The sequence below is a fragment of the Homo sapiens genome, chromosome 1 (assembly GCF_000001405.40).
Source record: "Homo sapiens chromosome 1, GRCh38.p14 Primary Assembly".
NCBI lineage: Eukaryota > Metazoa > Chordata > Mammalia > Primates > Hominidae > Homo > Homo sapiens.
In genome coordinates, this window is record NC_000001.11 from 69,538,509 (window position 1) to 69,553,835 (window position 15,327).

A 15,327-nucleotide genomic window follows, 5' to 3' on the forward strand; every position below is an offset into this window, starting at 1 on the left:
TCTGATCTCAAGCTCTTCCCTAGATTTCTTGGTTGATTACATGAACCACTCTCTCATCAACACCCTCAGATTCTTCAAATTCATGGGGTTTTTTTGTTTGTTTTTTGTTTTTGTTTTTGTTTTTTTATATTCCATATGGAAAAATCCCAACCTTGGATCAATTTCACAGTTGGCCTTTTCTGATCCAGAACACTGACTGCATGGTAAAAATTACACAGTCATGCACACTGGTGCCATGTAGATTCAAATTCATGGATTTCAGTCTCAGCACTCGATCACTGTTTATATTTAACCAGAACTTTGGTTATCTCCTCTATAGGACTTTTTGGACCTTCACTATTTTTTCAGTTTTCTTCAAATCTCCTATTCTAATTACTCTCAGCAAATATCTTTCCTTCCTTCTTTAACAAAAATTTAAGGCTGTTTGGCCTGAAATACCTCGTCTCCTCTGCTGTCCACTTAGAAACATTTGACATTTTTGCGCATGCACACTTCTTTCTTCCTACCTGCCTCAGGAGCAGAGGTGGCTCTCATCCTATTCTTGATGTAGCCTTCCTTTTGTAATCTTGATCTGACCCAACTTCATGGCCTTTGGGACCTTGCTCTATTCTCCTTTCTCTATATCTTCAATAGCTTACTCTGAGTAACTCATTTCCCTCCATGTAAACATCTTCATGTCTCACCCATCAAAAGCAAATATTTCCCATCGAGGGTCTCCCCTCTAGCCACTGCCCCATTTTACTCCTTCCTCAACCAAGCTCCTTGGAAAAAAAACTGTGACACTCACTGCTCCCATTTTCTTACCTCCCACTCTTCAATCTCCTAAAACAAGCAAACAACAAACAAAAATGTCTTAACATCCCCAGGAAGTTCATGGATCATTTAGCAGTGCATCCCAATGCACTCATCTTTCTAAACTTTTCACTTGTATTTTACTTGTGGTTCATTTGTTCCTTTTTAAAACTCTACATTCATTCTTAGCATTTCAAGAAAATTTGTATCTTGAAATATTCTTTTTGTCAAAAGGTCTCTGTGATCAAGTTTAAGAGAAAAAAGCAATAGAACACTTTTTTGCAGATCTTTACATACATGATTATATTTAAGTGTAAACGCATACTTTTTTACTCCTCTGTCATAAAAATCATGCTCACTACAATATTTCCATTAGTCTAGCTTCAGGGAATGGAAAATGGAGGGAATATTTTCTCTGGAAGGAGTATTCTATGGATGAAAGGAAATCTGGTCAAATCCTGGGGAAGTGGAAATTTCGCCTCTTTGATTTCAGATAGATACTTGGAAGGACAAGAGATCCTGAAGAGGAGGAATTAAGCGACGGGATGTGTGTGGCCTGTTCTTTCATTTCCAGCCTAAAGTAGGGCTGTTTGCTATGTAGGTGAGGGGAAATTCAGGGGCAGAAAGGCCATTCTGTCATTGGTTTTAGTAGGGAGAACCTCCTGCAAAAGTATTCTGCATAACCAATGGCAACTATATTAATGTGTTTAAACAAAGTCAAGTCAGTGGCATCATGTGTTTGGACAGAGGCTAACAAGAGTTACCCGTCCAGTGTCAATTCCAGCTTGCCCTGTGGGTTTAGCAGGTGGCCAGAAGTTCCAAGTGGCCTTCGAGAGGCACGCAAAGCTGCTGGCTAGCAAGCTTACCCTACGAGTTGCTGTGACTGGGAAAAGTAACTCTGCAGTTGTAGATTAGGGTTCAGTTAAGGTACATCCAGACCTCAAGTGCTGGTGAGGACTAAGATAGGGTCGAGTTATCAGGGAAGACAACAGGCCCTGGCCAAACTCAGAAAAAACATCATATGCTCACCAGCTGCCAACTTGGATAGTAAATTTTAGCTGAAAGAGCAGTGACCAAGTAGACAAGAGAGTAATCGCTACAGAGTCCAAAAGGAACACCCATAGATACAGGGCTCTCTTTCTAAGACAAGAACACAGTAATCTGCTATAGAAATCCAAATGCCATTTGCGGGAAAAGCAGAAGTTTGCAGAACTGTGAAAAACTGAGCATGTACCTATAAGAATTTAAACTAATTTAAACTAAAAATTATTACCACTAGGTAGTTTGTAAATTTAAAATGATCTTTAAAAATAAAAAGCAACTCCCTAACTACCCAGAAAAGTGAGGGTGAATTAGAAATATTAGATTTGAAAATATTTTAAAAGTTCGCATTTTACACTTTACGTGATTGTGCTGAGTGCATTTAAAATGGCACCAAGAAATTCCCCAGATATAATTACAGCAAAACTCTTTCTTTCTTTCTTTGTTTTTAGCACCCATTAGCATGCAATAGAAGAGATATTCTGAGGAACTTACTTGATTACTCTCTGCTCTACAAATTTATTTTCATGATAATTTGCTTTCACAGTTTCTGAATTACTCAGGTTTCTCCAGAGAAATAGAACCAATAGGACAGAGAGAGCCAAGGGGTGTGTGGAGAATAGATATATGCCTGGCAAGTTCACATCTGATCCGAAATGTGGGCCAGTAGGCTTGAGACCCGGGAAACCTGATGGTGCAGGTGGAATCTGAAAGCAGTTTGCTCAAGAATTTTCTCTTCCTTGGGAAGGCTGGGTTTTTTGTCGTATTCAGGCTTTCAGTTGATTGGATGAGACCCACCCACCTTACAGAGAGCAATCTGGTTACCCTAAATTCACTGGTTTAAGTGTTAATATCATCCAATAACAGTTTTGCCCTCATCTTTCTGCCTTTTCATTTGCAACTTCGTCCACAGGTTCCTTTTCCCCTGCTAACTCTCGTTTACTGAGACATCTACTCTTGGTCCCCTGCTCCTTTCTCTCCACAGTCTTTTCACTATTTCATCTAGTCTCACAATTGTAATTGCCGTTTAGACACTAACAATGTAAATCCATCATACCTATGATGTCACCTTTAAGCTTCAGGTGCATATATTTATATTCTAGCAGTACCAATTCATTTGGCATGTCATAAACACAGATTCAACAGCTTCCAAATTAAACTCTCCAAATTTCCCTTTTCCCACTCCACTCCTTATTGCTACCTGCTAACATTCCGTCTATGCCTAATTCATCCCCTAGTCCTGCTGACATAATCTCAGCATTTTAAAGTTGTAACAACTTAGCTGGGCACACAAAGCTCTGAGTGACCTAAAACCCATTTTTTTCTAACTTCATTTTTTGAAATACTGAAGTCTGTACACATGTTTTGTCTCCATACCTTATTTCAGGGTTACTCTTTGGCCTAGAGCACTATCCCATCTCCTGTTTATTCACCTGGGTAACCTCTTTTCAACTCTGGATGTCGTTGCCTGAATCTGCAGACAGAATGACGTGTTTCCCTGTCTTCCTGTGTTCTACTCATTTCCCTCTGCTTGTCTAGCAGAGCACTGACATTAGAAGGCTCAAAATTCTACTCTCAGGGCTAGAATGACTCTAGCATGTTCCTGCTCCTTGAGAGCAGAAGCATTCTACATCTTTCTAGCCTTAGCACCTATCACAATGCCAAGGAGAGAAGGCGGTTACAAAGATTTTTTTTTTAACCTTTGCATTGAATGTACAGGTTAAATTGGCTGACTTTAAAAGGTTTCTGAAGAGCAGTAGTTCTCAGACGTTAAGACCCTTGAATGTCCTTAAGGTCTTTACAAGTAATGTGAAAAGCCAAAACTATTTTCATAATAATATCAAGACATTGTTTGCTTTATTCATTACATTGAAATTTTCACTAATGGTGCAAGAGCAATGGTCAGAAAAATTGCTGGCTTTAAGGCAAGAATCAAGGTGGTGGCCCTGAGCTATACTGTTAGCCATTGCATTTTACCACACACTTTCATTTTAAAAATAAAATTACATAATAGTCATACTAATAATAATAGAATATCAGTTTCACTTAAGAATGGTTTTGATGAAAAAATAAAAATTATTAATTTTATTAAATGTCAACCTTTGAATATACTTCTTTTCAATGTATCCTGTGGGAGAAAAATGAGAAAAATGCCAAAACACTTCACTACATAACCAAACGTATTTGTATCAAGAAAAGCACTTATGTGATTGTGTAAATTGCAAGCTGAAATAATCTCTTTTCATAGAGCACCATTTTAATTTGAAAGAATGACAAATAGGCAAACTATAGCTATTCATACTTGGATATTTGGCACACATTTTCTCAAAAATGAACAAAGACAGCCTGACATCTCAAGGACAACTGACAGTATTGTTGCCAGTAATAAAATTTGAACTTTCAAGTGAAAGAGTTTTGGAAAACTTACATCTGCTTCTGTGAGCTTGACAGCTTCCCAAGACAGACTTTCCTGATGAGATCAGTGGCAATATTAATAAATATGATGTTTATTGCATAATGAAATATGTCAACATTGGAAGATCTGTATAAATGAGTAAACTAATATTTTTAAATGAACATGCATGACAGTACAAAATTATACATGAATAAAAGATTCATTCAAAATTCAAGAGAAGCCAATGGATTTTGTTGTAACAGAATACAGAAAATCCAGTGATATGGTTTGATTGTATATTGCAACTACCTCTTATAAAGTACCACATGTCAAGTTTTAGAGTACTATCAAGGAAGAACATACAAAATTATCTTAAAATATTCATTCTTTGCCCAGCATGGTGGCTCATGCTTGTATTCCCAGCACTTTGGGAGGCCGAGGTGGGCAGATCACTTGAGGTCAGGAGATTGATACCAGCCTGACCAACATGGTGAAACCCCTTTTCTACTAAATATACAAAAACTAGCGGGGCGTGGTGGTGCATACCTGTAGTCCCAGCTACTCAGGAGGCTGAGGCAGGAGAATTGCTTGAACCCGGGAGGAGGAGATTGCAGTGAGCCGAGATCGTGCCATTGCACTCCAGCCTGGGCAACAAGAGCAAAACTCCGTCTCAAAAAAAAAAAAAAACTAAAACAAAACAAACAAACAAAAAAACTCATTCTTTTTCTATTCACATATTTATGTAATGACTTTGTTTATACACTTCAACCAAAAAATATACAGCATGGATATAACAGATAAAATAACCTAGCTGTCTTCTATTAAGTTAGACATTAAAGAGATTTACAATAATATAAAGCAGTGCCCCTCTTTTTAATGAATTTTAAAATTTGAAATATATCATTATTTTTAACAAAAATATACTATTTATGTTAACATGTAACAGGCTTATTAATGTTATTTGAAATGAATTAACAATTTAAATTTGTTTCCAGTTTTAATTTCTAATATGGTAAATAAAGACAGGTATAACACATATTTTTAAATCTCTTTATGATCCTGAATGGTTTTTAAGAGTGTAAAGGGGCCTTGAGGCTGGGTGCAGTGACTCACTCCTATAATCCCAGCACTTAGGGAGGCCAAGAAGAAAGGACAGCTTGAGCCCAGAAGCCTTGGCAACATATAGAGACACTACATCTACAAAAAAAATAAAATAGAAAAATTAGCTGAGGGTAGTGACTCATGCCTGTAGTGCCAGCTACTCAGGAGGCTGAGGCAGGAGGATCACTTAAGCCCAGGAGATTGAGGCTGCAATGAGCTGTGATCATGCCACTGCACTCCAGTCTGGGTGACAGGGTGAGACCCTGTCTCAAAAAATAGAAATAAATAAATAAAGGTAATCTTGAGATCAAAATGTTTACAACCACTGCTATGGTAGTATTTACCTTAAGCTGTGAACAACTGACATAGATGTATTTTTAACAATACCACTGATTCCTAAATTGGTTACATTACTTAAATATTTATTTAAAAATATATTTAAAGTAATTTATTCTGTATGTTTTGATATTCAATTAGACCACTGGTTAGAGAGGTGTATGGACCACTGGTTAGAAAGGTGTATGCAGACCAATCTTCAAATCCTGGCTCCATGACTTAGATGCATTAGGAGTAAGGAAGGAGAGAAAAAATGGATGTCTGTTAGAGGTGATTGAGAGAGCGTATCACTGTTTCCAATTATTGTGAGAGGATTTGATTTTGCTTATGGGATAATTTGACTTTCCTGCAGTCATGACATCAGGAATGGCCATGAAATTTGCTTTACCCAATGAAATGTGAGTTGAAGTGATATATGCCAATTCATCATGAGGTTCTGACGTTTTCTTTTTCCCTCTCCCACAAAGGCCCCCAAGTCTCATACAGGGCTACTCCTTCAACCTGGGTTCCAGAAGGAAGAAGACATGGAGCAAAACTGTATGGACAATGTAATGTGAACAAGAAATAAAGCATCATTTTTGTAAGACATCATAACCTAGCAAAATTTGATAGATGTACTAGGTCACTAATAGTGTCTATCACCATAGTCACTGTTTATATAGATAATGTGATAATTACTTATTTTATGAATAATAATCCTATTATAATATCTTAATATAGTAGGCTCTTGGTGAATAAGAAATGCAATTGACTTTTTAAAAAAACTTATCCTCACCCATTCACTTCTTTCTTCCCATGAGAACCTCATTTGACTTTCATATAGTAGCCTTTTCTATGCAGGAAAAGCCTCATGATTCAGGACAAATGTCTCCATTTCTTAGCTCTGAGATAGCCCTCATTATTCTAAGAGTCCTATTCCTCCTTGTCAGAAATTGGTCAAAGAACATGCAAATGTGTTAGTCAGTTCAGGCTGCTATTGAATATAAAATGTATAGCAGACTGAGTAGCTTATAAACAACAGAAATTTATTTCCCACAGTTCAGGAGTCTAGATGTCCAAGATCAGGGTGCCAGTATGGTCAAATTCTGATGAGATCCCTTGCTAAGTTTTGAATGTCACCTCCAAAACTCATGTTGAAATTTAATTGCCATTGTAGCAGTGTTGCAAGGTGAAAGCTTCAAAAGATAGTTTAAGTCATAGAGGGCTCTGCCTTTCCTGCATGAATTGATGCTGTTATCATGGGAATGAGTTAGTTATCAAGGGAGGGGACTCCTGATAAAAGGATGAGTTTGAACTCCATTTTCTCTGTGTCTTGCATGCTCATTTACCCTTCTACTTTCCTCCAAGGTATGACCCTGGCCAGGTGCCAGCTGCATGCTTTTGGACTTTCCAACTCCAGAACCATGAACCAAATAAATCTCTTTTCTTTATTCATTACCCCAGCTGTGGTATTGGGTTACAGTACCAGAAAACAGACTAAGATAGCTATCTTCCAGGTTGCATCCTGCAGTCTCCTCAGTATATCTTTACATGATAAAAAGAGGGTGAGAGAATTCTCTAGAGTTTCCTTTATAATGGCACTAATCCCATTCATGAGGGTTCTACCCTCATGACCTAATTATCTCCCAAAGGCCCTCCTAATATTGTCACATTGGGAGTTAAAATTTTAACTTATGAATTTTTATTTTGGTGGTGGACAGGGTGGGACAAAAACATTCAGTCCATTGCAACAAGTGACCCAATTCCAGCTCCCTGAAACAAAACCTAGAAAAATGTTTGGTGGAAGATTCTAGAAAATTTTTCTTTCTTTTCACTTGATATATTTGTATATTAACAGGAGAGAACATGGATTCAATTGCTACTAGCTATAATCCAATCATCTAGGTGTCTGTAAGTAGGGATATAGAAAGAACCTGGGTTTTTAACAATACTGTTGCGATATTAGATCAACCAACCCTGAGACCTATTCTCCATTTGGACTTCATATTATTTGAGCCATTGACTTTTGTTACTGTTAAACTAATTTGAGTCATATTTTGTGATCTCTATAGCCAAAAGCATCCTAAGTGCCATAAGATATCTGTTTTTTGTTATCAAATTTCTTACAAGGTAGAATTTTATAGATTTTTGACCCTCATATGTTGCTTTTTGCCATAGGTAATAATTTGCAGGGAAACTCATGTTAATGTTATTCCACTAGACTAAATCACCCTCCCCACCAATTTGGCTGATTTATTCAGGCCCCAGGTAAGGTCTTTTAAACTTCGGGTTTACATTTTTCATAGCAATGAGAATTTATGATACTGCACTAATAGATTTGCTGCTTAACTACAATTGCTAGTGGTTTCATAAATGCATCCTTATCTTTTCACACTTTTGAGAACTGTATTTGAGAATAAAATTATACTAATCAAGTAATGCATTGATGACTATCCAAGGATGCTGTAATTTTACTCCAAAATGCACTGTTGATGTTTTGTCCATCATATTTGGTGTGTGATCAGATATTAAATAGATTAAAATATAGACTAAACACATAGTTCATGTCTTTTAAACTAGGCCCATGAAAACTACCCCATGAATCTGTAAAATTTAAGAAAATGCATAATTAAGTGTAACTTAAAATTGTTGGTTTTTTTTCAGTAATAACAAAATATCTGGCATGAGGTAGCCCAGGATTGATTCAACAGGTGAAAACTGTCAGCATGCTGAGTCAGGTTATCAGTGATTCTCTGGGCTTTTCTTCATAGTCTGAACATGACTGCCACAGTTCCACATGACTTTCTCAACTTATACAATTCAAAGTCAGAAGCAACAGAGAGCACAAGTCTTTTTTGTATTCCTCTTTCTTTTCTTTCTTTTTTTTTTTTTTTTTTTGACTGTGGCTTCCTTCTGGACCTCTTTCTTTTTTATCAGAAAGGAACTTATTCCCCTAGAAAATCAGGGCATACTACCCCTCCCATCTTATGGCAAATGCAAACCAAGCACTGACAAAGTGTTATGGGATTATTATGACTGGCTAGCCCTCTTTTCTTTGTTATATTGATAGTCAATATCTGAACAAAATTGGGACTTCATTAATAAATAAGAAGAGGGTACAGCCTGAACATAGGCAACCAAAAATATCTTCCCCTTACCTTCCCTATATGAGATGTAATTTCATCCTGTTTCTCCTAAACAACTCTACTCCCTCCAAAATTGAATCAACCACTTATCACTTTGGAAAATTAAAGTTGTTTTCACCTACTTCAGAAGACAAGTAGGTTGACAGTGCAAACCGAGAAGGATGGGAAGGACTAGTCTGCAAATCAGTGTCATTCACCTATGCATAATAGAAAAGGTGACCCAATCTGGTGTATTCAACACCTGGCAACTTAACAGATAGCACGTTTCCTAAAATAATGACATTTCAGCATAAAAAATCACAAATGACATAATCTCAAAATAAAAGGTAGTTCTCATGAAGAGTACAGCTGTAAACCTACACTGATAATGCATAGACAGACGTAGATAGGTAGGTCAATTTTTTTTGCTACATTTGAATTTCCCTCTGGACCAAGACTGGTCCTCAGATTAACAGTGTAAGTGAGCTAAGTACACATTAGAAGTAATATCTAAACAAACTGAGGCATTGGATAGCAATATTTAGAAAAAATACAAATCCCTTTGTGCAGTCAATTTCCCATCATTTTTTCTCTAAATTTCATCATCAGTCACAGATTAAAATAATCCAACTTTACTAGTCCCATCTTTCTAAGTATCTTTAATTTATTCATTTATTTAGTCTATTGGCACAAATTGAGCATGTATTGCGTGTAACCACAGTGATAGATGCTTTAGGAACATAGTGAAGTAACGCAGGGGTCCTCAACCTCTGGGCCACAGATTGTTGGCAGAACCAGGATGCACAGTAGGAGATGAGCAGCAGGCAAGTGAGTGACAATTCATCTGTATTTACAGCTGCTCCTCATCACTCTCATTACCACCTAAGCTCCTCCTCCTGTCAGATCAGAGGCCGCATTAGATTCTCGCAGGAACACAAATCCTATTGTGAACTGTGCATGCGAGGGATCTAGGTTGCATGCTCCTTATGAGAATTTAATGTGATGATCTGTCACTGTCTCCTTTACCCCCAAATGGGACCATCTAGTTGCAGGAAAAGAAGCTCAGGGCTCCCACTGATTCTACATTATGGTGAATTGTATAACTATTTCATCATATAATGCAATGTAGTAATAATAATAGAAATAAAGTTCACGATAAATGTAATGTGCTTGACATCCTGAAACCATCTCCCCCGTTGCCCTCCACCAGTCGGTGGAAAAATTGTCTTCCATAAAACTGGTCTCTGGTGCCAAAAAGGTTGGGGACCACTGATGTATAGAACCAGGTCCATTCTGTCAATACTCTCCCCATTCCCTAGTTCTGTTCATCAAGTTCCCAAGGTATTAAAATGTCTTGCTTAAAACTTATCAAATAAAATGAGAATATTTTTGTCTTATTTTTCCTTTTTAAGTTCTTTGTGTTACCTACTGTGTGCATTTCTCTCTGTTATAACAATGCCTATCTTCTTTACCACATTTGGAAGAAGTTGCCTTTAATTTTTTTTTTAACTTATAGGATTAGCTTTACAATCAGGCGTATCCTCTTGTTATTTGCTTTCATAGTGCTTTCTCCTTCATAGAATTTACTGCAAGAATAGGCGAATTATGGCTTGATGTCTATTTTTCCTGCTAGCCTACAATCTGTATTAAGGCATAGTCAGAACCAGCCAGTGCACCATCATATCCCCAGTACAAAGAGCAGTTTCTTAAACATTGTTAGAACCCAGTCGGGTTTTCTGAGGGAATAAATGAATGAATTCATAACCCAATTCAGCGTTATCTTCATTTTTCACTGTCAGTGGTTGGTTTATACCAAAGCAACAAATATCCATTGAGCAAAGGTTGAATGAGCACATGCTACGTGTCAGGTATAAAGGTTGAATGAGCACATGCTATGTGTCAGGTAATGGAGAGTTAAAGCTTAGGCTCTCAAGGAGCTTACGGTACAGTGAAACTTACTTGACTACATTTGAAAAGTTTAATCTGATTTATAAAACCAGTAAAAATGGTGCCTAGCCATTCATCCGTATCACTCTCCAGACATTATTTTTCTTTCAGTATTTTAAACAAACTTGAACATAAGGAAATTGCTTTAAATCCAAGCTATATAATCTGAACTACAAAAATAATGATCACAGTTACATGGATTTCTTTCCACTCAAATAGTGGGATTCATAAGAATTGTTAAATACTATTTTTATTTTGGAAATGTGGTATTTTTTCATATTTTTCTCCAGCTGTCTGACCCATGCTTCAAGTGCCATCTCTTATAAGAAGTCTTCAGTGATTCCTCTAGCTAAACGTAATCCTACCTACTGCATAGAATTGTTAGGAAGAGTAAAGAACAAATTTATGTGAGTGCACTTTCTGAACTGTAAATATTAAACAACCATTAGTTTATTCATTCTTTATTTCAACAAATTTTGATTTTCCACTATGTATCAGCATTCATTTTTCCAGACACTGGACATACACTAATCAAGAAAAAGACAAAAAATCTCTCATGAAGTTTACATTATAGTGAAAGAAACCAACAATTAAAAATGTAAGTAAAATGTATTATGTGTAGAGCTAAATGCTTAGGAGAATAAAACAGAAAAAAGTGATATGAGATAAGCATATGTGGTTGAAATTTATATAGGACGATTGGGAAAGGTCTCATTGAGAAAGTGATTTTTGATTAACAATCAGTAAGTAAGAAGGTGAGCTCTATGGGGATCTGGCAAAGAAGAACTCCGGGCAAAGGAAAAAGAAAATACAAAATTCTCTAAACAGGACTTGTGTTTGGAATATTGGAGGAACAGTGAGTAGGTGTGTGGCTAGAGTAAATGAGTGAGGGGTAACAAATAGAGAACGAGGTCAAGAGATCAGATACGTAGATTATATAAGGACTCAGTTATCAAATACTCCAATCAATCGGTTATTAGCAATTAGTTTTTATAATTAACAATAAATATTTCCCTACTTGAGCACTCAAAGTGCACTTTAATGGTACCTCCTTAATGGTGCTTATCATTCTCTTTCTGGCATTCATGGCTATTCTTTTCTATCAGATCATAAGATTAAATCTTACTTATCATTTTGTACCTTTCAACATTACACTGAACAAATTGCTGCCCACAAAGTTATGAGACTAAAACCCGAATCACTTAATTGACCTTTACTGGTGTTTTTATCATAGAAAAATGGCCATAAACATGGCTCACTCTCACATCAGCCAAAGAAGGATTCACTGAAATTTTACAAGTTTTATTTAGTCACCGTCCAAACACCTGATGATTGACCCTATGTAGATATGTACTTTTCTAAATTTTGTTTGAGACTATTAATGTTCTCTACAAGTTGCCTAGATGGTCCATATTCATTCAGTAAGTCAGCAAATGCAATTCAATGACTACCACATGCCAAGCATTATGAGGATACAGTGGTCAATATGATAGACATTATCTCTGTTCTCTAAAACTTACACTCCAGTGGGGAAAACATTCAATTTTGTAGTTGTAATGCTTCTGATATAAAAGTGAATGTTTTTGCTTCTAGACTAAATTAACATTTAACTATGAAAGTTAATGGTAAATAACAACTACCATTTACAGAGCTTTTATGTGCGCCAAGCATGTGTGAAATACTTTATAGGTATTGCTCTATTTAATATTCATACAATCTAGAGAAGTAGATATCATTCCTATTTTCTAAATGAAAACACTGGGGCACTGATAGTTTTAAAATTTTGTTTCTGAAATACAGACAGTGTTTTGCAGAACTGAGATTTCAACCTAAATCTGCCTAACTTCAATGTCTTATTCTTAACCTCATAGACTGTGTTTCTAACCAGTTACCTCTTTAGTGTATTATATGAAGTTTTGTATATATTAATTACTTTAGTATGGCAAAATGTCAGGAAGAAGTAGGGGTTAATTTTGGGCTTCCCGTAACAGTTTTCTCATCATGTCTGAGCACTGTAAATGTCCTAAAATATCCAAGTTATCAGATGTTACTTCATGTGATATTGAAAATTAGTGTGTGAGTGACCGTAAGGAGAGCAGTAAGAGTATAAGTAGGATTCAGGACAACTCAAAGATAGCCCAAGCATATTAATTCTTAGTGAAGGTAATACCTAATTATTCTAATTAGTTGTTATTTCGAGGATTTTTTGTATATGTCTTCACAAACACTTCATTGTTGCTTGAGCTAATTTTAAGAATGCAATTTAAGATACCATGTCATAATGAAGCAGCATCATTGTCTGGGGTAAATACCCAAGGTTCATTGTCCTCCTCCAAGAAGATTAAGAACACAAACACACATGAGGAGTGAATTTAGGAGCAGAGGTTTCATAGGCAAATGAAAGAGAAAGGAGAGCACCTCGCTCTCTCTCTTGTGAGAGAGGGGAATCCAAAAGGGAAAAGCTGGCCTGCAGCGGACGGTAGCAGATTTTGTAGGCAGGCTTGAGGAGGTGGTGTCTGATTTACATAGGGCTCACAGATTGGTTTGACAGATGTGACATTTACATAGCATGTGGGGAAGGCTGGTTGCCCCACCCTAATCTTATTAAGCAAATAGTCTTTCCACTTGGCCAGCGCCATCTTGTCTGATCCTTACTGTACACGTGGCTGGCCAAGAGAAGAGAAGATGGAGCGGCCATTTTGATCATGCCTAGTCCCAGGTAACCTTTTCCTATTGGCACAACTGCCAACATTCACCTGTGCAAACTTCCAACTTGCTCGTCTATTTCTGCAGCTTGATTTTACAGGCTGCTCTCTGTTAGAAAAGAAAATGATTTGGGGGCTGCTTTTCATTAAAAGGAAGGCCTTACCGAGGATTCCTTAACCTCACTATCTGCCTAAATAATTCCTTTTTAACTCCTATATCAATAATTTGACAACATATCTTTTTTGAGAACTCCAAAAGATGCAGTGTGCTCCTCTGTCCCATAAAGTAGGCAGAGAACTGACAAAAGCTTTAAAGGAATTGCTTTTATGTCAGAGCTTTATGAGAGAGTTAATAACAATTTCTCTGATAGATAATTTGTCCCATGTACTGTAAAACAATCATAATCTAGACTTTACTGTCCAGGCTAAGAACAGGACTAGAACCTATTGTCATAATCTCTGAAACATATAGTCATTTTCTGATATGAGCATTATCCACAAGTGCATATTTGCATGCTCTTCTTAAGAGCTTTAAGATACCCTGAGCTTTGTGAGTTATATAGAAAACTGCTGCTTGGATTATTAGACAGAGGTGATTTTCAACACCAACTAGCAAGGACTTAGACATCTCCTCTCCTTTATGAAAAAATTCTTGATTATCCCACTGTTGAACTCATAAAATATTTCCAGTTGATGTATTCATTCGGAACTAGTCATGCTCTGCCATAAATTCTTACTATATTTTTATATGTATAACCCACATGTAAGTTGATCATTCTCATAGGCAGATTTTTCTCACCCATTCAGAAGCTGGTAGGTAGTCTTTGGAGGCCTCATTGTTGCAATAAGATTCTAAACACAATTAGCATTTTCTCACTTTAGTCTTTTTTGCAAAGATTTGATAAGTTACAGGGCAGAATCACATTTTGGCATTTGATTCCCTTAATCTCAGTACGTGATTTTCCAAACTTTCTCATTCCTTGTGATTTCTTCTCTAGTTCTACACCAAATAGTGTCCAGTATCCTAGCCTCTACCCTTTTCTTTGATTTTCTCTTTATGGCAATTGTCAGCACTACCACTGCCCACTTGATTTTGCAGAATAATGTATCCAGTATCACCTTCTACCCTCAATTATCACACTCATGTCCATTTTAGTCCTCCGAAAATATGACAATAATAATAAGCAATTTCCGCTACAATGAATGATCACATCCTAGGAAACAATGAGAGTTACAAACAATTCTAAAAGATTTTTGTATATTTTACCCCCCTTGCTGGTTTGAACATCCTTCAAGGGATTGCTTTGTAATTGTCTATGTCAGTTAAAGTTTTTTGCACTAGGCACTCTAATATATGTTGTTTGGTTTATTTCCCCAGAATATATCAGCTGTGAAAATAAGTGAAAGAAAGATTTTCTTATCTCCAACATTTCTGGGAAGGGGTGTGTCTGTGGATTTTATGTTACTGGAAAGAGACAATCCAGTAGTCCACTTTGTCAGGAGTGTTTCAAACAACATCTGTGAACCCACTGGACTTCAAGCTCCTACAGGCTAGAGATTTGGTCTATTTCATCTGCATTGTGAAAGGTCCTGGAGACTGAGAATCAGGAATTACTAGACTATAATGGATGAGATTTATAAAAAATAAGATGAAGGTAAGCAGCTGTGCACAGCTGCTCTGCTATATTGGGAGGAAACTAGAACAAAGACACAAAACAAGAGTTGCAAGGGTATATGTACATGTTCTGCCTGTGTTTAAGAGCCTATCTATGTTGCATTTTGAGTTATCTTGCTGGAGGATAAGTTTGCAAGTTTGAGGCAAAAAGGCTTTGTGCTCTTGTGGTAAGATCATCAGGGAACAGCTCTCTGGAGGTGGTGCAGTGCATAAGAGAGAAACTGGCTAGTG

At 36.8% G+C, this 15,327-nt stretch overlaps 1 long non-coding RNA gene across 4 annotated transcripts in view; it reads left to right on the forward strand.

Moving 5' to 3' along the window:
- LOC105378789 (uncharacterized) overlaps window positions 1-15,327 on the forward strand; it is a 112,950-nt gene that overhangs the window by 85,608 nt on the left and 12,015 nt on the right. For 2 of the 4 annotated variants that reach the window (XR_947488.3, XR_007066166.1), the window contains exons 4-8: window positions 6,133-6,245; window positions 7,823-7,912; window positions 11,007-11,123; window positions 11,215-11,314; window positions 14,800-15,327. The exon at window positions 14,800-15,327 is cut by the window's right edge and continues 98 nt beyond it. This is a non-coding gene — a long non-coding RNA (uncharacterized LOC105378789). Of the gene's footprint in view, window positions 1-6,132; window positions 6,246-7,822; window positions 7,913-11,006; window positions 11,124-11,214; window positions 13,436-14,799 lie in introns of all 4 variants that reach the window. The other 2 variants (XR_001738106.2, XR_007066165.1) reach the window with 2 other exon arrangements.